The sequence below is a fragment of the Homo sapiens genome, chromosome 14, assembly GCF_000001405.40.
Source record: "Homo sapiens chromosome 14, GRCh38.p14 Primary Assembly".
NCBI classification, from domain to species: domain Eukaryota; kingdom Metazoa; phylum Chordata; class Mammalia; order Primates; family Hominidae; genus Homo; species Homo sapiens.
In genome coordinates this window covers 92,536,923-92,564,528 of record NC_000014.9, presented here as the reverse complement: position 1 = coordinate 92,564,528, position 27,606 = coordinate 92,536,923, and the positions used below count along the sequence as shown (strand labels likewise).

The 27,606-nt window shown below is 47.0% G+C and overlaps 1 protein-coding gene across 1 annotated transcript in view, besides 1 other annotated feature; it reads right to left on the bottom strand.

Moving 5' to 3' along the window:
- The window catches only part of RIN3 (Ras and Rab interactor 3), a 175,214-nt gene that overhangs the window by 124,466 nt on the left and 23,142 nt on the right, over positions 1-27,606 (bottom strand). The window contains exon 2 of the mRNA NM_024832.5: positions 8,574-8,778. Within this exon, the coding sequence (NP_079108.3) occupies positions 8,574-8,778 (205 nt within the window). The remainder of the gene's footprint in view (positions 1-8,573; positions 8,779-27,606) is intronic.
- Positions 12,183-12,272: an enhancer, noted in NCBI's record as "active region_8931". NCBI's record gives its function as "activates an Ori minimal core promoter by ATAC-STARR-seq in GM12878 lymphoblastoid cells {active_cell/tissue: GM12878}" and the evidence as "EXISTENCE:reporter gene assay evidence [ECO:0000049][PMID:35858748]".

Sequence of the window (27,606 nt, the reverse complement as noted above, 5' to 3'; positions counted from 1 at the left end):
GTCTATAGCAAGGGAGGTAGGCTGAACAATTCCAAGACTCCTTTCTTCTAGAAGATACTCTTGTAGCATCAGTGCCCTGGGGGTCTTTCCCAGTCCCTAAGAGGCTTGCAAGAGGGTGAGTTTCATGGTAAATTAACGCAATCCAGGAAATGGTACCGCCAGTCTGCAGACCCTCTTCCTGTCTATCTTCAGCCAAGGTGAGTTTTGGAAAGACCAACTTATTTCACTAACAGCTGGGACAGAATATGCTTAGGGAGAGAATTATGCAGCCACCACGCTCCCCTCTTCCTCTCCAAATAAATACATTTGGATTTTTATCCAAAGCTAAATGCACCATAAGGGGTTTTGTTTTTACTATTCATTTTTGGCCTGGACAATTCAGAGCTATCTGCTTTTCCACTTCTGTTATTTTAGGATTATTTTCCAGCTGCTTGGGGAAAATTTCCAATCATGCCCATTAGGGCAGAAATAGAAGTGTCTGGCTCTTCTGAGAGGCTATGTCCACAGGGGTTGTGCCTGCAGAGGTTGACAGTCCAGTGGCTGGGGCCCATCCTGGACAAAGGTCCTCATATCCTCAGTCCTGACTCTGACAGAGCTTAGGGGTATGTGTGTGTGTGTTTGTGTGTGTACAGAGATGTAAGAAAGTCAAGCCACAAATCCTCAGAACCACTGAGGACTGGAAATGGAATAAAGGGACATATTGCCCAATATCTTTATTTTACATATGGGGAAACTGAGGCCCACCTTTCCCATTAGCATAGCACAGAGCAGCAATTCTCAACTCTGGCTACATAGCAGAATTACCCAGGAAGCTTTTAAAACATGCTGATGGCTGAGGCCCACTCCAAAAGAAAAAGAGAAGCACTTCTGAGGGTGAGGCCAAGACACTGTTTTTTTTAAAGCTTTTGGAGACAGTCAGTTGTGGGTTTAAATCAAGTTCCACAACTTGGTAGCCATATGACTCAGGCTGGTTTCTTACCGTCTCAGAGCTGAGTTTCCTCCCTTATAGAATAGAGATCACACCCCTGTTTTGCAGGGTTGTTGGAAAAATGAGAGATGGTGCTTAGTCCAAAGTAATCCTGCAATAATTGATGATTGTGCCTTTTTCCCTGGTCTCACAACAGAGGGGCTTCACTGAAGTTTGTTGTTTGTTTGTTTGTTTGTTTTGAGACAGAGTTTTGCTCTTGTTGCCCAGGCTGGAGTGCAGTGGTGCGATCTTTTCTCACTGCAACTTCTGCCTCCCGGGTTCAAGCGATTCTCCTGCCTCAGCCTCCCAAGTAGCTGGGATTACAGGCGCCTGCCACTACTCCTGGCTATTTTTTTCTATTTTTAGCAGATATGAGGTTTTACCATGTTGGCCAGGCTAGTCTTGAACTCCTGACCTCAGGTGATCCACCCACCTCGGCCTCCCAAAGTGCTGGGATTCCAGGCAGGAGTCACTGCACCTGGCCCACTGAAGGTTTTTACCAAACTAATACTCAACAGAATCGGTACTCCTTGGGCTCACACCTAGGGAGGGTGCCTTGAACCATCTAGATGGCTGGTCTATATCACAACTCAGGTTACTACAACTTTTGACCCAACCTTTCACCTCCTTCATCACCAAAAGCAACCTTAAAAGAGGTTTCTTTTATTAAAAACCACCTTGGCCTAGAAGCAACTGACACTCCAGTAGCAACAAACACCTGTGGTCCCCAGATCTTGGTTTCTAATATCATTCCCTATAAAAGGAACGACGGCTTCTTGGAGAAATGGCTGATTCTAGGACTGGGGCAGAAAATATATAAGATGAGCATGGAGTATCTTATATTGCCAGGAAATAACGACATGTTCCAAAAAACAAAACACACACCCACATGCACAGTGAGGGCAGTGTGTCAAAGGCATACAGGAGCCAACTGAAGGACTCGAGGGGCCAAAGTTGGAAAACTTTGAGCAACAAAATAATTAAAGTAGTATTGGATTATAGTCCAAAGTATAAAAGTGCCCCTGATTCCACAATGATATAAGTAAATGGCTTAACAAATAGATGGGAGAGAAGAGGCAAATCTCTTGTACAGACAAATTCCAAATAATTTATTAGATACCAAATCAAGGAGGTGGAGCATAATTCCCCATTCCTTAAAGGTGGGCTGAGCACACCGACTGCCTTCCAAAAAGTACAGTCTAGAGAGGCAGTGGGGGAAAGAGTGACTTTGAAGTACAGAAACCCTAAGAACACAACCCCAGCAATTGATCAAGGTCAACATCACCAGTGGTTAAGTCATTCCGAGAGTCTGTTGCCTTCATATGATGTGATTAGATTATTTTACCAGTGTGGTCTTCCTCCCCAAACCCCTAACCCCAGTCTAACCATCAGACAAGTCCTAGTGGAGGAACATTCTACAAAATACCTGATCACTGTTCCTCAAAACTGCCAAGGTCATCAAAAACAAAGGAAGTCTGAGCAAATGTCACAGCCAAGAAAAGCCTAAGGAGACAAGATGACTAAATGTAACATGGGATGGGATCCCGGAGCAGAGAAAAGACGCTAGGTAAAAGCTGACCAGGCATGGTGGCTCACGCCTGTAATCCCAGTGGTATGGGAGGCCGAGGTGGGAGGATTGCTTGAGCCCAGGAGCTCAAGACCAGCCTGGGCAACATAGGGAGACCTCGTCTCTACAAAAAGTAAAAAATTAATTAGCTGGGCATGGTAGTGTGTGCCTGTAATCCCAGCTACTCAGGAAGCTGAGGCAGGAGAATCACTTGAGCCTAGGAGGTAGGCTGCAGTGAGCCATGATCGCGCCACTGCACTCCAGATTGGGTGACAGAGCAAGACCTGTCTCAAAACCAAACAAAACTCAGGAAATCTGAATAAAGTACGGGCTTTAGTTAATACTAATGTATCAAGATCAGTTTCTTAATTGTGGCGAATGTACCACACTAATGCTAGATGTTAACAATGGGGGAAACTGGTGTGGAGTATATGGGAACTCCCTGTACCGTCTTTGAAACTTTTCTGTAAATCTAAAACTATTCTAAAATAAAAAAAAAAATCAGCCTGAATGCAGAATAAATAAAGGTGGCTATTTGGTTGCCTTGCTTCTGGATACACACAAATGAACAAATGGGCCAATATGTTCCCAAAACCTTATCAGAGAAGCAGGCTGCAGGGAGGGAGGTGGATAGTGGGGAAGGGGTGAGATGTGGTCAAGGTCATACAGATATTTGGAACAAAGGGCCTGAATCCCTAGCCTGAGCACCAGCGCTAGACACAATGAAGCACTGTCTTTCATCGGTGCCAGCAGGGGTAGACCCAGGTGGTCTCTGAAGACCTTTTGAGTTCCCACAGCCTGGGGACCACCCATGGTGTCGGTATATATATATATAAATATATATATAAAAATATATATAAATATAAATATATATAAATATATATAAATATGGCATATATATGGCAGATATATATATATTTATGGCATATATATGGCAGATATATATATATTTTTTTTTTTTTTTTTTTTTTTTTAGACAGAGTTTCGCTCTTGTTGCCCAGGCTGGAGTGCAGTGGTGCGATCTCGGCTCACTGCAACCTCTGCCTTCCCAGGTTCAAGTGATTCTCCTGCCTCAGCCTCCTGAGTAGCTGGGATTACAGGCGCCCACCACCAAGCCTGGCTAATTTTTTGTATTTTTAGTAGAGACGTGGTTTCATCATGTTGACCAGGCTGGTCTTGAACTCCTGACCTCAGGTGATCCACCCGCCTTGGCCTCCCAAAGGGCTGGGATTATAGACATGAGCCACCGCATCCGGCCCGGTGTCTGTATCTTTAGAAACAATGACATCATCGCCTGGATGCCAGCTCTGTGGGACCGCTGTTGTGAAGCAAAGCGCCTTGCCAGCTGAAGATCACACCACACAGACTCTGCTTTCACCAGCTGTGTGACTTCAGGCAAGTGAGTTGACTTCTCTGTGCCTCTGTTTCCTCATCTGAAAATGGGAACACACTAATGCCTACCTGACAGAAATCGCTGAGGATCAAGTAAGATCATGCATATAGCAACTCTGGGTAAAAGCTGCCAATCTTCGTAACAGCACATGCACTCAGGCCCTTCCTTATGCTTGAAAATATAGAGGTGCACGGGGAGGAGTGGGGCGTAAAGGCAGAGAGCAGGGAAGGCAACAGATGACACAGCTCCTCCACTCTGTTGTTCTCAGGGCTGGCCCAGCTGCTACGCCCTCAGAAGGGGGTGGTGAGTGGGTGGCAGTGGGAAGGGAATGGTTGACTCCTTTAATGCAGTCACCTGTGGTCTCAACATCTTCTATACTCAGCACCTGGATTGTAGCAGAGTTCTCTGGGCCTCGGCAGCCTGGGTGCCTCCCCTGCTGGGGCTGAAGGAGTGTCCAGCCTTCTCGCACCACTGAAGCTGGGATTAAGGCCTAAGGCCTTGCTTTAACTTGTGCTCACCTTGAAAATGAACTAAGCCCCGTGGCCTTTGCCTCTTGCCACAGGCCCCGAGCAACCTAGCCTGGCTTTGTCAGTTTGGAAGAAGCAGACCTGCACACCTGCTGTCCTCATTCATTTGTCCCAGTGAACAATCAGAGCCAGGCTCACTCTGTGCTCCCAGACCCGAATCAGTCAATGGTGTCACTGGTAGATGAATGCAACATGGTCCTGCTCTCCAGGGTTCCGGTAGGCTCTATTCCCTCCACTCTCTTTCATCCCCAAGGGCCCCAGCAAGGCTCACATCCACCTCTGGGCCTTGGCCCTTGCTGTTATGTCACCTGCTACTCTCCAGCAGACTCTGTCAGCTCCCCCATCCCAACCTGCCCATCCATTCTTCATGGCCCAGCTTGGTGTCTGCCTCCTCCAGGAAGTCTGCCCAGATCACCCCACCTGGATGTGCTCTCTTCCTGCTCCAGGTAACTCGCTGCCCTGCCTTTCACAGAGCACTTAGCTAACCCCACCTGGTGCCTTTACGGTTCATATTGGTGCATGGAGTCCCCACCAGACCCTCGGAGAGGACAGTGGTAAGATTGTATCTCACCCATCTTTATAAACATGGCTCATATCCAAACCCATCCAGCACTGGTTGATCTCAGAAAATTACTTTTATGTCTCTCCTGCTACTCACTTCTGGAGGGATGGGCTTGAGCCTAGCCAGGCCTGGGTTCAAACCTCAGCCCTGTACCTCACTAGCTGTGTGATCTTTGGGAAAGTTAGCCCACTCTAGTGGTAGGTGTGGCTGGTGTCCCACCCATCCCTGTGGAGACTTATCTTTTTAGTGGACTCCAGCCCTCCTTCCACTAGCCATCTCTGCATCTCTTCACCCAAGGACTGTTTCTGGCAAGAGTCAGATCTTACAGTCAAGGAAGAGAGAAGGGGGCCGGGCACGGTGGCTCACACCTGTAATGCCAGCACTTTGGAAGGCCGAGGTGGGAGGATCACCTGAGGTCAGGAGTCTGAGACCAGCCTGGCCAACATGGTGAAACCCTGTCTCTGCTAAAAATACAAAAATTAGCCAGGCGTGGTGGCACACGCCTGTAGTCCCAGCTACTTGGGAGGCTGAGGCAGGAGAATCGCTTGAACCCAGGAGGTGGAGGTTGCAGTGAGCTGAGATTGCGCCACTGCAAGACTCTGTCTCACCAAAAAAAAAAAAAAAAGAAAAGAAAAGAAAAAACAAAAGGAAGAGAGAAGGTGCTGGAAGATGCATCCTCCTCACACCCCACAGCCTTTGACCCACGACTATCAGGAGTTGGTGAATAATACACAGCTCCCTCACCCTTCCGGTGGGATAACCACGAGATGTGTGTTCCACGCTGGCTCCCAGAGTTCCCCAGGAGGATTCAGCTCCAGCTGCCCCCAAGAGTAACTCTCATGACAATGTACCTTTTATTGGCATCAGTCCCTTCCCCTGGCTTGGTTCCCCTACTGGTGCTTCCTGGGGTTACTACCCAAATAATCCACTTGCACTCAAATCCTTGTCTCAGGGTCTGCTTCTGGGGAAACCCAAACTAAAGCACTCCTCTTAGCCTCGGTTTCATTATCTGTGAAATGGGTATAATGGCAGAGTTGACCTCACAGGATGATTGCAAGATGATATCTGCAAAGCACAGAGCCTGGAATTACTAAGCATTCTCCAAAAGGAACCACTACAGTTATTTTTAGTTGTGCTTATTTTAAACTTTTTAATCATTTTTTTTGGACAGAGTCTCACTCCATCACCTGGGCTGGAGTACAGTGGCGTGATCTAGGCACACTGCAACTTCCACCTCCCCGGTTCAAGTAATTCTCCCACCTCAGCCTCCCGAATAGCTGGGATTACAAGTGCACACTTCCGTGCCTGGCTAATTTTTGTATTTTTTGTAGAGACGGGGTCTCGCCATGTTGCCCAGGCTGGTCTTGAACTCCTGGGCTCAAGGAATCCCCCTGCCGTGGCCTCCCAAAGTGCTGGGATTATAGGCATGAGCCACCGCGCCCAGGCTAATTTTCTGAAGAGAGAACTGAATCTTTTGACAGAGCAGTCATGACTATGTCCCATCCAGCTTGCTCTGGAGAGCCAGCACCTTCTCCTGGGACCATCCCCCACTGTCTGGTAATTCCCATCCACACACCTGCCCTGCACATGTCCTTCTTGATGACCAAGAAAAATCCAGAACATGGCCATCCCCTGGCATCAAAAATTTTCCCCTTGGGCTGGTTTCGAGCTGCATCCTCCCAGCAAGGGTGGGAAGCTCATTCCTGAGAACCTACCAGGGGAACTGGGGACCACAGAGGGTGCTGGCTGAACACCCACTGGCAGGAGACCCTGGTTTTATTTTCTACCCAGGCCTTGCCAGGCCAGCGGTCCCCCTGGTCTTGGCAGGACACTGCTGTGCTTCCAGGCCACCACAGTGCCCACTCCCTGTGACAGGGGCCTCTGTAGCAAGAGGAGGTCAGGACTTTGCAGAAGGCCCCATAAGTTCTAGTAATTCCGATTTTCAGGTACAACTGGCGACTTGATGCATTTTACCTCGTCCGAGGTGAACGAGTCCATTCGCCATCTGAGCCCTGTACTTATACGTCTGGACTCTTCCTGGGAGGCAGACAAGCGCTGCAACCACAGCAGGGGAGAGACCATCAAAAGTGCACGGTGGCTGGGGGACAAAAGTCCAGCTAAGCCAAATAAAACGTGTGTGCTCAACATAGCACAGGGCACCCAGACTGCCTGGGTCCAGATTCCCACTCTGCTATTTACTCACTGTGTCCCCTGGGGGAGGGCACTCAATGCCTTTGCATCGCAGTTGCCTCATCTATACAATGGGCAAGGTGGCAACACCTACCTCCTAGGGCTGCTGTGAGGTTAAATGGGCAGATTCACATGAAGAACTTGCAAGACTGCCTGGAGCAAAGCAAGTACTCAGGGAATGCTTGCCGCTACGTGAATATGCATGAATATGCATGGAAAATGTGCAGACAGACGTACCGCATGCAACGTGACTTCGGAGGCAGATTGGTGGTTACGGGGCTGCAGGAGGGGAGAAGGGGGAGGGAGTGTAGGGCTTTGTTTTGAATGATGAGATGTTTTGGAACTAGATAGATAGAGGTGGTGGTTGTACCACATTGTGTCTGTACTAAATGCCACTGAACTGTATACTTTTAAATGGCTAATTTTATATTATGTGAATTTCATCTCAATTAAAAAAAGAAAACACTTCTGGGGAGTGAGTTTGGTTACAGTAGGTGGAAAAGATCTTTACTTTTTACATGTCTGTCCAGCTTGGGTTTCTGTTAAATAATGAACACATATGTGTATCACTTTGGTAATTAAACAAATTCAAGTTGTTTTTAAAAGGAAGCAGCGTATAGGAGAAAATGTGTGTGGGAGGTGAAAGGAACATATGATGAGCTCTGACTCATATTTCATCATCTATCACCCACTTATCTGTTGTCTGTCTGTATGTCCATACGTCCATCCATCTATCTATCCATCTGTCTGTCTGTCCATCCATCTGTCCATTCATCCATCCATCATCTATCTTCCCATGCAATAGGAATAAGAGCCTCGGGGGTGGTGTGAATGCCCCTATTTCAAAGCAACAAAAGTGAGGCTTAGAAAATTTAAGCCGTGTGCCCAGCTCACAGAGCCTGACCTCCAAAACATCTTTTGACTCCATCACACAGCCCCTTATTTGCATATGTAAAACAGGGAGCATAAAGCCATTTTTTTTTTACCCTGGCTCTGATTGACACTCTCTGGACCCTGGATGCCTGGCTGAGCCCCCAAAGTCAGAGCAGGCCAGCATGGTCCTCCTGACTGCATCAGTCCTGCCTCTCAGGTGCCCAAATGCCCTGAGAGCCTGCAAGCCACCCACTACCTGCTCTCCAGTCACAAACACCTGCTCCCCAAAGAAGAAACCAGGCCTCTCACCAGCCCCCCATGCCTGTGTTCTGGGAGAAAATTGTGGTCAAAAGCTGACAAATGTAGGAAAGGGAAATAAACATGCAGTCATCTGCATGGTAGCTGCTTCCCTGTGGGAGCCAGGGCAGGTGTGGAGCACGCCTGAGTTCCTCACAGGTGTGTGTGCCTACCAAGTGGGAGACGCCCCCACTCACCCCAGCCACCACCCGGTGCAGGATCCTGGCCACCTCTGCCTGGCCCAGACTCAGCTGCAGCCACACCGGGCATGTTTTGATGAGCTTCTCCAGGATGCTGATGCCCCGGCGGTGAGGAAGGCAGTTTTTCGGGTTGGCTGGCAGACAAAGCCGCATGCCATCTTCCTCTTCCTCTTCCTCTCCTTTGCCAACAACTGGAACCGGACTGAAAAACAGAATTCAATGATCAGCTATCCTGCAGCCAGCCCAGAGAAGGTTTATAACACCTGGGGATTCCATTCAGCCACGCTTACTTATTCAGCATGAGGTAGTCAGTGGCCCTTTGGGGAATTAAAAAAAAATCAACAAACCATGGTCTTCATCTTAGGGTGCTTGTAGGAAACACACGTCAGCCCACCCGACCCAGGATGTGAGGCTCCGAGATGTTGTTCCTCCTTTTCTGGAATCAAAACCAGCCTGTGTGTGTTGGGATGGGGTAGGCAAATGTGAGGGTCTTGGGGAGGGTCTGGGATCTCTTAAACCGGACAGAACTGTCAACAGTAGGCAGTGCCCATTTCCCAGTGGAGCCCTCAGTTTGATCTCACTGTTTCTTGGGTCTGTGAGACCCAAGACTTGAGTCTGTGAGGAAATGGCGAGACACAGCTATGGTACAAGTATAAATGTAACAGAAGCACAGTTCAACAGAAGCAGCTCACTGCAACCCGGGATGGGTTCAGGAAAACGAGTGGCATTTGAGCAGAGCCTTGAAGAGGCTTTTTAAAAACTTTTAAAGAGTAACACACACAGTGAAATGCACACATCTTGAGTGTACAGCTAGCCACATTTTTACATATGTCTACACCTGTGTAACTACCACCCAAATCAAGATAGAGAGATCTGTGCTGCCGTAGCCACTAGCCAGAAGTGGCTTGTCTGAACTGACAAGTGCTGTAAGCACAAAATATACACAGGATTTCAAACTTACTGTGATAAAAAGAATATAAAATAGCTTATTAATATTTTTATTGTTTACAAGTTAGTATAATTTTTTTTTGAGACAGATTCTTGCTCTGTCGCCCAGGCTGGAATGCAGTGGCGTGATCTCAGCTTACTGCAGCCTCCGCCTCCTGGGTTCAAGCAATTCTCCTGCTTCAGCCTCCCGAGTAGCTGGGATTACAGGCGTGCACCACCATGCCCGGCTAATTTTTGTATTTTTTTAGTAGAGACAGGGTTTCACCATGTTAGCCAGACTGGTCTCAAACTCCTGACCTCAAGTGACCCACCCACCTCGGCCTCCCGAAGTACTGGGATTACAGGTGTGAACCATCGTGCCCAGCAAGATAATATTTTAAATGTGTCAGGTTAAATAAAATATTATTAAAATTACTTTGCCTGTTTTAATATGGCTGCCAGAATATATAAAATGACATATGTGGCTTGCATTAGATTTCCATTGGATGGTGCTGATATAGGACAGTTCTAGAAAGTTCCTTCTTACCCCTTCCCAGTCAACAGTGCCTGAGCCCCCAGAATGAGGATGAGTCAACACAGCACGGTGGGGGAAGGAGGATCACAGACCCAAGAAACAGCAAAGTCAAACTGAGGGCTTCGCTGGGAAATGAGCACTGCCTACTGTTCACAGTTCTGTCCGGTTTAAGGGATCCCAGACCCTCCCCAAGACCCTCATGTTTGCCTTCCCCATCCCAACACACACAGGCTGGTTTTGATTCCAGAAAAGGAGGAACAACATCTCGGAGCCTCGCATCCTGAGTTGGGTGGGCCAGAAGGTCTGTGTGCATTCTACCTAAGGCACCAAGTCTCTCAAGGTACCTGCAGGGGTGAAAACCTTAATCACACAGACAAGGGTACCCAGAAAGCCATGAAGCTGTGGATGGTGCCTTCCATCTTGCCCTGTGTCTCTGTGATGTTGCCCAGGGGTACCAGGGATCAAGGTTGGCATTGGTTCCAGAAGCATCCAGGGCATGTGCTGTAAGGAGCCCCTTGGGGAAGGCAGGGGACGAGGCCAGGGTAAGCCCTGTAAAAGGGCACAGGAAAGTGGAACCACCCCTGAAGGCAGGGCTGTAGGGGTCCTGGGGGTTCTCAGGGTGGTGGAGGGGTCAGGCAGCGCTGTATTAAACAGGGGCAGCAGTGTTGTGAATTTTGAGCAGTGGTTTTCGAGAGAACTGACTGGGACTGCCTGTCATGAGGAGGGGTGTGTCAAGGTCAGTGTGAAGTCTGTACCCGGGGAGAAAATTCCCTCCCACATCCTCCGGGGGGCCCTGACTCTCACGAATGTTGTGTGTGCTCCCGGCTGCCTGTGGATTTCCCCTTTCGGTCCACAGCCTTCAGCCTACCTAGAAGAAGGAGCCAGGTCACCAGGAAAATATGAGTGTCCCGGGGAATGGCAGGAATCCTGGGGCTGGTGGGGGCGGGGTAGGATGGCTCTGTGGAAGTCCACAGGCTGTGGAATTGAGGCCGAACAATCTCATTTGGAGCTCAAGGCCAGGGCGGCCTGGCTGATACTGATGCAACCACTTCCCAGGCCCTGAGTGTGGTCCCAGCATCTCGTCTGGGAAAAGTTAAAATGATGGAGGTCTGAATTTCCCAGAAAAGAAAAGAAACCCCTGGGCTGCAGGCTCCTCTAACCCCACTTGGAAACACAAAGATATGTTCTGGCACCAAAAGACGCTATAATCATCCTTAAACATCCCTGCTTGGGCCCCAGCCTCCCCCGGGCCAGTTAGGACTTTCAATAGCAGGGATTGAGGGCAATCAGCTTCATTTCTTCTTTGCCACGAACTATGGCTTAGCACTTGGCCAAGTCCTTTCCCCCTCAAGGTCTGTTTCCTCATCTGTGCAATGGGGACTGGGAGAAGGAAGCTTCTCCATTTGCTGGGTGGCCCTAGGTGTGACCTGGGCTCATCCCCATTTTTTTTTTTTTTTTTTTTTTACCTGCAGAACCAAAGCTGCGATCAAACAGAGAGGTTCTGGGAGTAATGAGGGAGTGGGCCTCTCATTCACTCGGGCTGTGCTTAGTTTCTGTGGACCTGCCAATGTCAAATGCTGTTCCAGGCACAGGTTAGAGCAGTGAACAAAACAGTTAAAAAAAACCCAAAACCTTCACGGTATTTACATTCTAGGGGAAGAGGCGGGCAATAAACAAGGCAAATAGGTGACTAGAGGATGTTAGATGGTAATACTGCCAAAGAGGAAGAGGAAAGGGTCCCAGGGATGGGGGACAGTTCCAAACTGGGTGGCCAGGGAAGACACCCGGAAAAGGTGACTGTGGAATAAGTGCCTGGCTGCAGGTATCTGGGGAAGAGATGTCCAGGCAGAAGGAAGAGCAAACTCCCAAGCCTGCAATTCCTGCTCCTGGAGCAAGTGCAAGGAGGGACAATGAGAGAAGGGTGAGAGTGGCAGGAGGTGAGAGCAGAGGGGGTAGGGGGAGGGCCCCATGAGCATCTGGAGCCACAGGGAGCATTGGCCCTAAATCCACATGTACAAGCACTCCCCAGGGCTGGGCTTCCAGCTAGCTACATGCCTAGCCCTGTGCTCAGGCTTCCTTGGCAAGAATAAATGGGCCCATGAAGATCTGGGGGGACCTGGGTGGTCTCAGGGCCCAGGAGGGTCTGCAGGAATCCACAGAGATAAACCTGCTTCCCAGCCCGGCAGCCCCACCTGCATCCTGAAGCACGAGGCTGCTGCTCTCAGGGTGACTGACTGAGTGGAAACTCTGCCCCAGGCTCCAACATCACGAGGACTGTACATCTCACTGTCTTGTGATCACATCCCTTCCTGCTCTAAAACTTGCAATGGATTCCACTGCCTAAAGAATCCGGTCCAGTCCCTTCATGTTTAAGGCATTCCCTTTCTGGGCCTCTGCCCCTCAACCCCAGACACCCCCTACAAAGGGCTCCACTCCATCACCCAACAGAACATGCACTTCTCCACCTGGAGCCCACGCTCATGCTGCTCTGTCCACCTGCACCTCCTTCAGGGTCTATTTCTTCCTCCCAAGATTATTTCCAACTGGCAGGCAAAAGCATTAGACCAGACACAGAAAGCAATGATCATAAAAGAAAAAATAGATAAAGTTAGACTGCATCACAATTTAAAACTTCTGCCCATCAGGCTGGGGGAAAAATATCTGCAAAACATATATCCAACAGAGACCAAGCAAATCAATTTTTAAAATGGGCAAGAGATTTGAACAGATACTTCAAAGAAGAAGACATACAAATGGACAATAAGCAGGTGAAAAAATGCTCAAAGTCATTAGTCATTAGGGAAATGCAAATTAAAACCACAATGCGATACCACGGCACAACCACTAGAATGGCTAAAATTAAAATGACTGACAACATCACATAGTGGTGAGAATGGGAAGTAATCAGAATGCTAGTGTACTCTTGGGGAGAACGAACATTGGAACGAGCACTTTAGACAAAGATATGGCACTTTTTAATAAACCTAAACATATACCTACCCTATGGCCCAGCGATTCCACTCCTAGGTATACACCCGAGGGAAATGACAGTATACGTCCAGAAAGACCTGCATACGAATGTCAAAGCAGCTCTCCTCCTAATAGCTCAATACCACCTGGTTCCAGTGTCCATCAGCGGCAGAATGGATAAACAAACGGTGGCATGTCCACACAACGGGTCAGTAGTCAGCAATAAAAAGGAATTAACCACACGCACAACCACATGAACGAATCTCAGAAGCATTATGCTGAGTCAAGGAAGCCAAATGCAAAAAAGTACATATGGCATGAATCCATCTATATGAAGTTCAAACAGGACACTTAGATGTGTGCATTCACTTTTACCACATGCAAATTTTATACCAAAACTATAAAAGATAATCCTAACTAAACACTGAACTCTAGTTAACTCTAGTCATGATAACATTCAGGGGGTGGTCTGCAAATTCCTATGAAATACATTAAAAAGTAAGGTGCATTCATGGATATGTAAAGATATGTAACAAAACAGATAGAGAAAAACATTGAGGGTTACTTGTGGGTGTATGGGTGTTTACTGCAAAGTTCTTTCAAGTCTTCTGTATCTTTTAAATTTTTAATAGTGAACTACTGGCATAACAGTTCTCCCCATCCCTTAAGGCCCCTTCAGATGAAGCCTGCCTGCTGTATTAGAAGTCTTGGGTTTGGATGCAGGCTGTATGACCTCTGGCCAGTTATTAATACTTTACCTCTCTGGGCTTCAGTTTAATCACCTGTGAAAACATAATAAGCTGGGCGCTGTGGCTCACGCCTGTAATCCAAACATTTTGGGATTAAGGCTAAGGCAGGAAGGTTGTTTGAGCCCAGGAGTTTGAGACCAGCCTGGGAAATATAGTGAGACCACATCTCTACAAAAAACTTTCGAAAAATTAGCCAGGCATGATGGCGTGTGCCCCATGTAGTCCCAGATACTCAGGAGGCTAAGGTAGGAGGATTGCTTGAGCCTGGAGGTGGAGGCTGCAGTGAGCTGAGATCGCCTCATTGCATTCCAGCCTGGGTAACAGAACAAGACCCTGTCTCAAAATGAATGAATAAATAAATAAAACTAAACAAAAATAAAAATAAGTAAAAACAACGTAATTGTCTTTATTTAAGAGGGTTACTGGGAAAATTTCATGAGCTGTCAACTACTTAGCACAGTGCCTGACACACTATTCAGTAAATGTTACAGTTTTTCCAACCCTCCAACCCCCGAGTTATAACGCTTCTCTTCCTCTTCCTGCTACAGTTCTCTCACTTTAAAACCTTGATTTTGGGACTAGGCACATTTGATTGAAGTGACTTGTGGCAAGATGGCAAAGATGGAAGTGCCCAGAGTGGGTGACACGCAGGCTTTGTTTTACAGCTGTGATGACACTTATCAACTGGCCTGGCCACAGCAGCTCCAACTGCCAGGAACCGTCGCTAAGCCCAACCAGCATCAGATCAGCCATCTGTTGGCAGAGCCGGCCACTCTGACACCCACGCCCTCCCTCTCACCAGCTGAACTCCCACTCCGCTAAGGACCCTGCAAAGGCAGAACCGGGGACCTTGGATAATGAAAGGTGTTGTTAGAGCCTTGGAAGCTTTGGAGCAGCTCCACCAGAAAGAGAAATTGCTCCACAACGGGTTGTTCTCCCACTCATGGGGAATAGAGCAATGAGCTCAGAGCAGCAGGCCCACAGGCTTCTGATCCTATGGCTGCCGCCGGACACCCACCCAGAACGCCCTGCCAGACGCAGTGCCAGCAGACACTCAGGAAAACCCAGTCCCTGGGCTGCAGGACTCAACCTCTCAGCTTCTATGGGGATTTTCTCACCAGTTCCCTAAAGGAGGGCGGGAATTGGCCTTGAGTGTGCCCAGCTCCTGGGCATGGTGCCTGTTGTCTACATTCAGGCCTATTCAGCCTGGGGAGTAGAAGAGGGAAGCTCCACTCCAGCGTGGATAGCTAGCCCAAGGAGCTGACCAAATGTGGGGACAGAGTGGTGAGCATGGCAGCTTGGGGTGTGTGGCCCTGGCTAGATGCTGCCTATTAGGGGTAGGGGGAAGGCGCAGAAGTTTCCCAGCTTCACAGGGTTCCGGCTTTGGGCTGCCTATGTCAGCCCCAGGAAGCAGCTCAGAGAGTTCCAATGCAGCCTCACGGTGGGAACCGAGGCCTTCCTGTATAGACTTGGCCAGAACACGCCAGGGGGCGGGAGGTGGGAGTGTGTGACGGAAAGGGAGAACCGGAAAAGGCCGTCACTACCCCACCTACCAACCTGACCCAAGGCAGCGTGGCCTCCCAGCTTCAACAAGACAAAGGGGGTCTACAGGAATGGAGAGGCCTGGTCCCTGGCCTTAGAGGGCTTTTGGGCCAGTAGAAGCCAGTGTGGCTCTGGTGATAAATGTTACAGGATGGCACAGTCCCTCCAGACAAAGCACCATGAGTACACAGAGGGAGTGCAGGGGCCGGCGTGGGAGGGAGGGAGCCCTGGTGATGCCAGCCAGGGCAGCAACTTGCCTGTTTCATGTATTCATAGTCCACACCATACGGTGCCCACTGTGGGCCCCCAAATCCTGTTAATTCAGTCATCCTCATACCTGCCTGATTCAACCTCAGAGGTTGAATTGTGTCCCCCGAGAAGATATGTGCAAATCCTAACCCCAGTACTTGTACATGTGACCTTATTTGGAAAAAGGATCTTTTTCTTTGCAGATATAATTTAGGGCTACTGAGATGAGATCATCCTAAGTTTAGAGTGGGCCCTAACTCCAATGAGAGGTGTCCCTATAAGAAGGAAAGGCACAGAGAGACACAGATGAGGTCCGTGTGAAGGCAGAGGTAGAGAATGGAGTTATGATGCCCCAAGCCAAGGAGTGCCAGAGGTAGACAGCCACTACCAGGAGCTCGGGGAGAGGCATGGGACGGATCCTCCCTTAGAGCCTCCAGATGGAACCTGCCCAGCTGAAACCTTGGTTTTGGATTTCTGGCCTTGAGAACCACAAGAAAATAAATTTCTGCTGCTTTAAGCTGCAAAGTTAGTGGTAACCTGCTACTGCAGCCCTAGGAACCGAATATACCTACCCTACCCCTAGTGGTCTCATGTAAAGGTGAAGACACAGAGGCACAGAGAGGTTAAATAATTCACCAAAGGTCACATGCCAATAAGTGGCAGAACTGGGATTCAAACCCTGGCAATCTGGCTCCAGAGTCTACGCTTCTAACCACTCTACTCTTCCAGCTCTTGAAAGTTTAAAAAAAAAATTTCATGTTTACGTATCCTGGCAAAGAAAGGGTATTCAATAATGTTCATTATTCCACTTGGGAATACACACAAACACACACAGTGACATAGAAATATACATAGAAATAATTTCCAGAAGGCTATGTAAGATGTCATTAGAGTTATTTCAGAGACGTTAAGGGGGTTTGTTTCAAATTTTTATAATAATTATGCATTGCTAACATGATTTAAAATCATCTTAAATAGGCCAGGTGCGGTGACTCATGCCTGTAATCCCAGCACTTTGGTAGGCCAAGGCGGGCAGATCACCTGAGGTCAGGAGTTTGAGACCAGCCTGGCCAACATGGTGAAACCCCATCTCTACTAAAAATAAAAAAATTAGCTGGGTATGGCTGCACATGCCTGTAATCCCAGCTACTTGGAAGGCTGAGGCAGGAGAAACGCTTGAACCAGGGATGCAGAGGTTGCAGTGAGCTGAGATGGTGCCACTGCACTCCAGCCTGGGTGACACAGCGAGACTCTGTCTCAAAAAAGAAAACAATCATCTTAAATAGGCCAGGCACAGTGATTCACACCTGCAATCTCAGCACTTTGAGAGGCTAAGGTGGGAGGACTGCTACAGTTGAGGAGTTTGAGACCAGCTTGGGCAACGTGGTGAGACACTATCTCTACAAAAAATTAAAAGAATCAGCTGGGCACAGTGGTGTGCACCTATGGTCCCAGCTACTCAGAAGGCTGAGGCAGGAGGATCGCTTGAGCCTAGGAGGTTAAGGCTGCAGTGAGCTGTGTTCACACCACTGCACTCCAGCCTGGGTGACAGAGCAAGACCCTGTCTCAATAATAATAAAATAATAAAATAAAATAATAATAAAATAAAGATAATTTATTTTATAATAATAAAGATAATTTATTTTATAATAATAAAATAAAGATAATTTATTTTATAATAATAAAATAAAGATAATTTATTTTATAATAATAAAATAAAGATAATTTATTTTATAATAATAAAATAAAGATAATTTATTTTATAATAATAAAATAAAGATAATTTATTTTATAATAATAAAATAAAGATAATTTATTTTATAATAATAAAATAAAGATAATTTACTTTATAATAATAATAAAATAAAGATAATTTATTTAATTATAATATAATATAATATAATATAAAATAAAATATAATTTATTTTATTATAATAAAATAAAATAAAATAATAATTATATTAATAATAAAATAAAATAATAATAATAAAATAAAAATAATTTTAAATAAACAGTTTCTTATTTGTACAATGGAGCTGGTAATACCTGGCCCATGTTAACACTTTTAGTAGGTCACATTTTTCTGGATGTAGCAACCACACATGTGGTCATGCCCTATCTCTCCCAGGGACACCTGTTGCTTTGGGGACACTGGCCAACCTAGTCCACCAGGGACATCTCATTCCCCCAAACAGGCCCTACTCACCCCAACTGCTTCTCACTTGTTACAGCAGGAGGAATGGTCTGAGGCTGGGGGCGGGGGGCAAAGCTCCCCAGAGAATGAAAACAGTTACGCCCACTATCATAACAATCTATCAAAATTTAAAAGAGAAGAAATGCTGGAGCCCAGATTCCAGCAGCCCCATTCCCTGAACACCCGCGTTTACATGTTTACAGATGGCCACTGCTGCTGCAGCATTTACTACATGGAGAAAATGGGGAAAGCCAATGGCGCCACAGGCGAATGGATAAATAAAGCTGTGACTCAGTCCACCCTGGACAATGACACAGCTGTTAAAAGGCAGGAAATGCAGTAAATCAGTGGAGTGGCTATAGTAAACATTAATCTATTATATACTTCAAAACAGCAAGTAGAGAATAGTTCGAATGTTCCCAGCAAAAAGATAAATATTTAAGGTGATGGATATCCCAATCCCCCGATTTGATTCTGATACATTACATGAATGTGTCAGAAGATCACATGCACCCCCAAAATATGTACACCTATTATTTATCAATAAAAGAAAAGGGCCAGGGGCCAGGCACAGTGGCTCAAGCCTGTAATCCCAGCCCTTTGGGAAGCCGAGGTAGGTGGATCATTTGAGGTCACGAGTTCAAGACCAGCCTGGCCAACACGGTGAAACCCTGTCTCTACTAAAAATACAAAAATTACCAGATGTGGTGGCGGGTGCCTGTAATCCCAGCTACTAGGGAGGCTGAGGCAGGAGAATCGCTTAAACCCGGGAAGCAGAGGTTGCAGTGAGCCGAGATCATGCCACTGCACTCCGGCCTGGGGGACAAAGCAAGACTACGTCTCAAAAAAAAACAAAGAAAAGAAAAGAAAAGGGCCAGAATCAATGCTACACAGATGGTTAAATCTCAAAATTCTGTTTATTGCATGAATGTTAATTTCCTGATTTTGATCCTTGTCCTTGAGAAATACCCACTGAAGTATGTGGGGTAAAGAGATAAAATGTCTGCAACTTACTCTCAAATCATTTAGAAAAAATTAGAAGCTAGGTGTGGTGCTGCATGCCTGTAGTCCCAGCTACTCAGGAGGCTGAGGTGGGAGGATCACCTGAGCCCGGGGAGATTGAGGCTGCAGTGAGCACTGATCGCACCACTGCACTCCAGCCTCAGTGACAGAGTAAGACCCCATCTCAAAAAAAAAAAAAAAAGAAAAAGAAAAAAGAAAAAAAATAGAGAGGGAGAAAGAAAGAGTGCAAACGAGCAAATGTGACAAAATGTTAATAATTGATGAATCTGGCGAAAGGAGTGTACCAACAAGAATTCACTGTACTATTCCTGTAACTCTTCTGCCAGTCTGAAATCACGTCAAAACAGAAAGTTAGGCCGGGCGCGGTGGCTCCTGCCTGTAATCCCAGCACTTTGGGAGGCCGAGGCAGGTGGATCACGAGGTCAGGAGATCAAGACCATCCTGGCTCACACGGTGAAACCCCGTCTCTATTAAAAATACAAAAAAATTAGCCAGGCGTGGTGGCAGGTGCCTGTAGTCCCACCTACTTTGGAGGCTGAGGCAGGAGAATGGCATGAACCCGGGAGGCGGAGCTTGCAGTGAGTGGAGACTGTGCCACTGCACTCCAGCCTGGGGGACAGAGCAAGACTCCGTCTCAAAAAAAAAAAAAAAAAAAAACACCAGAAAGTTAAAAGAAAACGTTTTAAAAAGCAATCAAACAAACAAAAAAATCAACCCTAATGAGTGAAATAAGCAAATTACGGAAGGAATGAAAACATTTATGTAAAGTATAAAAAAACACGCACCACAGTTCTATACCTGTTTGTGGATACATGCACACACCAAACTCAGGAAGATGGCTGCCCTTGAACTGAGGAGAAAAATAGGATCAGGGAGGGGTGCGAAGGAGGTTTCAACCAGTTCTGCAATGATTTATTTATTAAACCAAACAAAAAGATCTGAAGCAAACATGGCAAAGTGATAGGAATTAACAAAGCTGAATTATGGGTGCATAGGGCATTGCAATGTTGTTCTCTAGACTTCTCTAAACTTGATATTTAATTTAAAAAAAAAAGCTCTCATGTATAAACACACATACCCCCGGGTCCCAGAGCATGCCACAAGTCGAGGAAATGTGGAGTGGAGCAGAGCCCAGGCACCCTGGCCTGTTCCTTCTGCCAGTGCCCTGTCCCCATGACCACTCCAGCTGTTTTTTCTTGGCATTTTAAAGTCAGTTCAGAAGTCAGAGAGTCCCATGTTGGAAGGTCATCAAGATGAGTCTAGCCCCGGGAATAGATTCAACTGGCCATCCAAAGAATCAGCCCCAGGGGACTTTTTGGGACCCCCGCCCCCACCCCCCCCCCCCCCCCACAGCTGTCACAAGCCACCAGAGCAGAAGCCAGAGAAGGTCATTGGAGACAAAGAACAGCTGATGCCAGAGGACATCTAACTCTGAATTTCCTGGTTCCAGGTGTAGATGTAGGCGGGAAGAGTGCGGTGTGGCCTGCAGGCATTTGGGGCTGGGAGAACTCCCCACTCCTCATTCCATAGTGTGGTGAACAGGTACAGGCTTCAGGCTAGATAGGGCCTGTGATCCTCCTGAGCTCCTCTACCTCTTTGAGCCTCAGAGTCCTCTTGTGTAAAGCAGGGAGACTCTGCCACTCAGCTCAAGGACTGCATGAGGGTTGAATGGGACAGTGTAACTAAAGAACCCAGCCCACAGCTGACTTTTAGCAAATGGTAACTACTAAATGAGATGGGGGGGTGGGGAGGCTTCACGAACAGTTCATGGAGGAAGCTAGGGCTGAATTAGACATGGGACAGAGTGGAGAAGGAATTCCCACAGGGCAGGGAGGTGGATCTGAGACTGTTAGGAGGCAGGTGAGCATGCAGAGATACCTGTTGGAGTATCTGGTTTGGATCAGAGATGTGCCAATAAAACACCCGTCTAGGACAATGAATAAGTAAATGAAGAGCAAAAGCCTTCCAGCCTGGCCAACATAGTGAAATCCCGTCTCTACTAAAAATTAAAAAATTAGCCGGGTGTGGTGGCGGGCACCTGTAATCCCAGCTACTTGAGAGGCTGAGGGAGAAAAATCTCTTGAACCCCAGAAGCGGAGGTTGCAGTGAGCCAAGATTTAAAAAAAAAAAAAAAAAAAAAAAAAAGCAAAAGCCTTGATGTGTAGCAATTGCCAGTTTCCAGGGTGTGGGGTGTAAATGCTCCCACCATTGCTGAGGTCAAGCTCTCTAAAGGTTTGCACCTGGCTAGCAAAATTTCTGGATAGTTAACAATAGGCTTTTGAGAGCCTAACCCTAACACTTCAGTTCCCTCTCTACCATCCCTAGCAAGCAGCAGTTGTATCTGTTTGAAGACCTTTAATCACATGAGCTAGCTACCTCACCAGGCAACCCATTCCGAGAAGCAATTCTCAATTTCTATTGAGATGAAATCCGTTCCCCTGAAGTGTTTCCTCTTGTTGCTTTTTCTACATTTTATAGGGCCATGAGGACTACTCCCCCCACCCCCCATAAAGCCTCTAAACTATGTGAACATGGCTTGTGCATCTACCGCCCTAGAGTCTTCTGTTTTCCGGCTGGAACAGCCCCAGGCTTCCACACAGCAACCCAGAGGGAAGGTTTGTCAACTGCGGTTGACGCTGAGCTGGGTGTCTCCAAGAATTTCCAGATAGGGTGGTTCGTTTTTTAACAGCATTTAAATAATCCAATTCAGTGGTTTTTAACATGGTCACAGAGCTGTGCAACCACCACCACAATCAATTTTAGTACATATTCATCACCCCACAAAGAAACCCCTTACTCATGAGCAGTCACTCCTCCCCAGCCCTGCCCCCTTCCCTCTAGCCCGAGGCAACCACTCATCTTTCTGTCTTTATAGATTTGCCTATTCTGGACATTTCCTACAAACAGAGGCATACACTATGTGGTCCTTTGTGTCTGGCTTTCACTTGGCATCATGTTTTCAAGGTTCATCCATGTAGTAGCAGCTAGTGGAATTTATCAGTACTTCTATATCAATGTTTCACTTCTTTTTATTGCCAAGCAATATCCCATTGTATGGAGATGCCACATTTGACTTGTCCATTCATCAGCTAACATTTGAGTAGTTTCCAATTTGGGGATATTACAAATAATGCTGCTAATATTCATGTGCAAGTTTTTGTATGGAACCTATGTTTTCAGTTCTCTTGGGTGTATATCTAGGTGTGGAATTGCTGGATTATATGGTAATTCTGTGTTTAGTATTTTGAGGAGCTACCAGACTGTGTTCCAAAGTGGCTACACCATTTTACATTCCCACCAGCAGCATATGAGGGTTCTAATTTCTCCAGCACCTTTCCAACACTTGTTATATTGTCTGTCTTTTTTATTACAGCCACCCTATTGGTTGTGAAGTAGTTTCTCATTGCGGTTTTGATTTGCAGTTCTACGGTGGCTATTGATATTGAGCATCTGTTCATTTTTGGCCTTTTTTTTTTGAGACAGGGTCTCGCTCTGTCAACTAGGCTGGAATGCAGTGGTGTGATCATGGCTCACTACAGCCTCAACCTCCCAGGCTCAAGTGATCCTCCCACCTTAGCCTCCCAAGTAGCTGGGATCACAGGCATGTGCCACCACACCTGGCTAATTTTTTATTTTTTGTACAGACAGGGTCTATGTTGCCCAGGCTGGTCTCAAACTCCTCGACTCAAGCAATCCTCCTGCCTCAGCTTTCCAAAATGTTGGGATTACAGGCATGGGCCACCACGCCTGACCCATTATTGGCCATTTGTATATCTTCCCCAGAGAAATGTTTATTCAGATCCTTTACCTATTTTTGAATTGGGTCTTCTATTACTGAGTTGTAAATTTTTAATATATTCTGGATATAAGCCCCTTATCAGATATATGATTTGCAAATATTTTCTCCCATTCTATGGACTGCACTTCTACTTTCTTGAGGGTGTCCTTTGAAACATAAAAGTTATAATCTAAGAAGTCCAATTTGTCCAGGTTTTCTTTTGTTGCTTGTGGTTTTGGTGTCATACCTAAGAAACCATTACCTAGTCTTAGATCATGAAAATTTGCCCATCATTTCAGTTCTTACATTTAGGTCTTTGTCCTATTTTGAGTTAGTTTTTATGTATGGCATGAGGTAGGGGTCTGACTTTATTCTTTTGCATGTGGATATCCCACATTGTTCCAGCACCATTTGTTGAAAGATGATTCTTTCTCCATTGAATTGTTTTGGCAGCCTTGTCAAAAATCAATTGACCATAAAATATGGAGTGGTTCTGAGCCTCCTCATCATACTGCTTTTATCCGAGTATAATGAGTATCCTTCTTTCTTTGCACTTCTGAAATGTGGAGTCCCAAATGGAAACAATACCCAGGTGTGCCCTGAGCAGCACAGAAAGAAGTGTGACCATCACCTCTCTACAGCTAGATACTCTACTTGTATTAACATGACCTAACCAGTTTTTCTGTAGCTCCACAATGCTTTTGGGAAATTAATTTGGATCTGGAGGGTGGAATCACATTGTGGAGATGAATGGAGATAACAAGGGTTTATGAGATGGGTAGTAACATGGCAAATGCTGTAACCATTACAAGAATGGATATGATATAAAGGAAATGACACTGTCTGGTTCTGTTGTTTACTACGTGACTTTGGGCAACTCACTTTCCTTCTCCAGGTTCAGCAGCCTCTTAATACAAATAGTAGGTTGGATCAGATCTGGGATGGCAAGTAGGTTGAACTTCCCATGTGAACCCCAGTTGACTGACAGCAGCTGCCTAGACTGTTATGTTGAAGGCTCGACTGAAAGAATGCAGGAATCTGCTAGTGATGTCTGCCAGGGGCTCTGCCTGGGAGAGCAGCAGCAGCTGTGCTAGGTATTTCCTGAGCATGGATCGGACCAAGGACTAAGGTTCCTTCCAGCATTATGAATTCTGCAATTCTGTGACTCAACCGACCCTTGGCTAGCTGCCACCTGAAGGCTTCTCTTCCAAGCCAGGCTGGCCCTGCCCCAGTGAACAGCCTGGGAGAAGGCAGGCGGCCAGGCTGGCTTCTCCATGGCTTTGTGTCTGCCAGATCCTTCTTCCTAGACGTGTGTGAAGCTGAGCCACAGCTGCTTCCTAGTTCTACCTCTGGCCCAGGCTTTGGTGCATACAGAAACAAAAACACAGTTCCAGGCTGACCATGGAGGTCCCGTGGGGATGGAAGAGAAGTAGCAGTTTCAGAACTAGGATCTCTCACACATGCACAAAGCACAAACACTCAACAAATGCCTCCAGCCTATTTCCAGGGGCTAAATAACTGTACAAGGCCCTGGCAGTTTCTCACAGATGCTTGTGGCTCCAAGAAGTGTCTGGAAAATCTTGTGAGAAAGTTCCCTGGGTTTCTCCTCCCTTGGGAAACCAAAAGACCTTCCATTAGGAGGTGGGGAATAGAGTGCAGCCTAAGACCCCCGACCCTCGGTGGGTCAGTCCCAGGAACAGGGGACAGGCTCTATGGGCCCCTGCCCACAGCCTCTAGCAGGGGAAGTCAGTTTAGGCAGGTCTTCCGGACCTCGGAAGCGCTGACAGCAGGCCAGACTGCCTCAGCTCACACGTCACAGCCCACATCAAGGGGTCTGGCAGGTCAAAGGCCTTCAAACTTTCCACATCTGTGTGCGCTGCAGGCCTTCTGTCACTTAGTGTGCGTCCAGCACTCTCCAGCTACCAGTCTTGCCTTCCTGACTCCAGCTAGGTGCCCCGCTGTCCCTACTGGGCTCCACCTGCCCACACTGACCCCAACGTGTGGAGGCCTGGTGGTGCCGGCAGAGGCAGCCAGCTTCAGCCGCAGGCCCTTCTGGTGGTGGCTCCCACCACGCCAGACCCACCCCAGGCCCCCGCTCAGCCACTGTGGTTGAAGGCTCATGGCTTTGCTCTGTTGGGCCTCTAGTCCCAGCTGCTCTGCCTTCTCCTTGGGCTCTGCTCTTGCAAACCCTGTACACCCCCAGCATCCTAGGAACCTGGACTGAGTTCCTCCACCCTCCCTCCCTCTGGAATCTTCTCTGGTTCAAAGGTCCTAGCCACTTTGCCTATCTGGGTCATCCAGGACTAAACTGACTCAGCCTGCCTGTCCTGCTGACCCCACCACCTGTCCTGGGCAGGTCTGTCCACTCCCACCAGGCCCAAGCTTACAGGTGACGGTACCAATCCTGTCCCCGGTACTGCATGCAATTTGGCCTTCAGTCATCAACCAGAGCTATGCAGCCTCATGGTTTAAGCATGGGCTTGAGAACCAGGCAGCCTGGGTTAGAATCCCAGGTCCGTGGCTTCACAAGTGACTCAGGCTCTCTTTGCCTCAATTTGCCTATATTTAAAATGGGAAAGATAAGCATGACTACCTGATGAGTTTGCTATGAAGAGTTCAGGATAGTGCCCAGAGTCCAGCAAGCATTCAGTGATGTTAGTATCCACCATTTATTCACCCAGTAAGTATTTATTCGCCCAGTAAGTATTTATTCAGCACTTAGTATGGGCCCAGACCCCACTCTGGGCTTAACGTAATAATAATTACAACAGTCATATGAAAGAGCAGCTGACATCCCCCCCACCCCAAGATCCCCAGAAACTTCACTGAACATGGAGATAGTTACTGGAGAAGACAGGATTTAGGGGCCAAGCTGGAGGGACTGAAGCTGGAGGCAGCAAGGACAAAAGACCCAGGTCACCAAGAGCAACGGGCAGGCCCTGAGCACACCTGTCACATATATTGGGATGAGCTGAGGCCATCTCTGCAAGGACAGACCCCTGGGAGGGGGCCTGGGAGGCTGGGGGACAGGGTGGGAAGGGGGTCCTCCCCTGTACAGGGGAGCATTGTCTGTAATGGAGAAAAGAAGAAACCGAGACATAGTCACTAGGGCTACAGAATTAGCAAGTGGCAGAGCTGGGATATGAACCCTTTTGTACCTTTGGAATTTGAACCGTGTGACTATATCGCCTACTCAGAAAACAATTAAAACAACTTGAAACTTTGAAAAATAAAGTTTCCCTTAAGAGCATTCATATGTGGCATTGAGCTGGGCTGTGTGCAGGTGTATTTAGAGAACTCTGCACTCTTGTTCTGGCTAAGACCGCACAGTGTAGGCCATTTCCCTTCTAGAATAGATCTCAAAGAGATACTTTTAAAATGCAAATGAAGCTTAACAGACAAAGATGTTCACTGCCACGTGACTTGCAGTTGTGGAAAACTAGAAACAATCAAACAATACTGCCTGTAACATGCTGGTCTCCCCCAAACTCAAGCTTTGTGTTCCAGTGTCTGGCCCATCTACCACAGTGTGCCCAAGCCCGGCATAGAATAAGGGTTCAAGAAAAAGTGTTCAACAATGGAGTGGTTAAGGAAATATTAGTACCATATGAAACTGGCAACATCCAACCATTTTTTACCTATAAAGAAAGCAATTTGGGATGTTCAGCCTCATACAAACAATGGAATAATATATAGCCATTAAAAATCGTCCCTAAGGGCCAGGCATGGTGGCTCACGCCTGTAATCCCAGCACTTTGGGAGGTCAAGGCAGGCAGATCACCTAGGTCAGGAGTTTGAGACCAGCCTGGCCAAACTGGCAAAACCCTGTCTCTACTAAAAATACAAAAATTAGCCAGGTGTGGCCGGGTGTGGTGGCTCAAGCCTGTAATCCCAGCACTTTGGGAGGCCGAGGCAGGTGGATCACAAGGTCAAGAGATTGAGACCATCCTGGCCAACATGGTGAAACCCCGTCTCTACTAAAAATACAAAAAAGCCAGGCGGGCGCCTGTAGTCCCAGCTACTTGGGGGGCTGAGGCAGAGGAATCACTTGAACCCAGGAGTCAGAGGCTGCAGTGGTCCAAGGTCGCACCACTGTGCTCCAGCCTGGGTGACAGAGCAAGACTCCGTCTCAAAAAAAAAAAAATAAATAAAATAAAATAAATAAAATTAGCCAGGCGTGGTGGCGTGCACCTGTAATCCCAGCTACCCAGGAGGCTGAGGCAGGAGAATCGCTGGAACCTGGTGGCGGGGGGGCAGAGGCTGCAGTGAGCCAAGATTGTGCCACTGCACTACAGCCTGGGCGACAGAGCAAGACTCTGTCTCCAAAAAAAAAAAAAAAAAAAAAAAAAAAGTCCCTAAGGCACTCACTTATAGCTGGTGGAAGCATAAGTTAGTACAGCCTTCATGGAGGGCAATTCAGTAACTTCTATCACAATTGCAAACACATAAACACATAGGCCCCTTGACCCAGCAATCGTGGGAACTTATACGTACAGTTGCATGTATGCAAAATGACGCACAGACAAAAGTGCTCACTGGATTCAGGGGAGCATTGTCTGTAATGGAGAAAAGACTGGAAACAACCTAAATGTCCATCAATAAGGGACCAGGGAAATGAATGGAATACTATACAACTGTAAGAAGAATCATGAGAATACCTTCTGTGTACTGACATGGAAAGATTCCTAGGGTGGGTGGGTGGCTGAAGGACAAAAGCAATGTAGGAAATATTAGTACCATATGAAACAACCCAGTCACTAAGTGGTTAAGGAGATATTAACCACTTACATACATATAAACCAGTATGTATACTGTACTCCCTTGTTGGAAAGAAAAAGAATAATTATTTGTATTTGCATAAAGAAACTCTGGAAGAAGATGCAGGAAGCTAGTGTCAGGAAGGGGTATAAACAGGGACATGAAGGGACCAGGTGGGAAAACTTCTTCACTGTACATCTTTTTCATTATATATATATATATTTTTAAATCCTATGAGCATATTACCTACTCGGAAATAAATTATGTTTCCAGAGTTTACCATTTACTGTGTGCCATGCATTGCT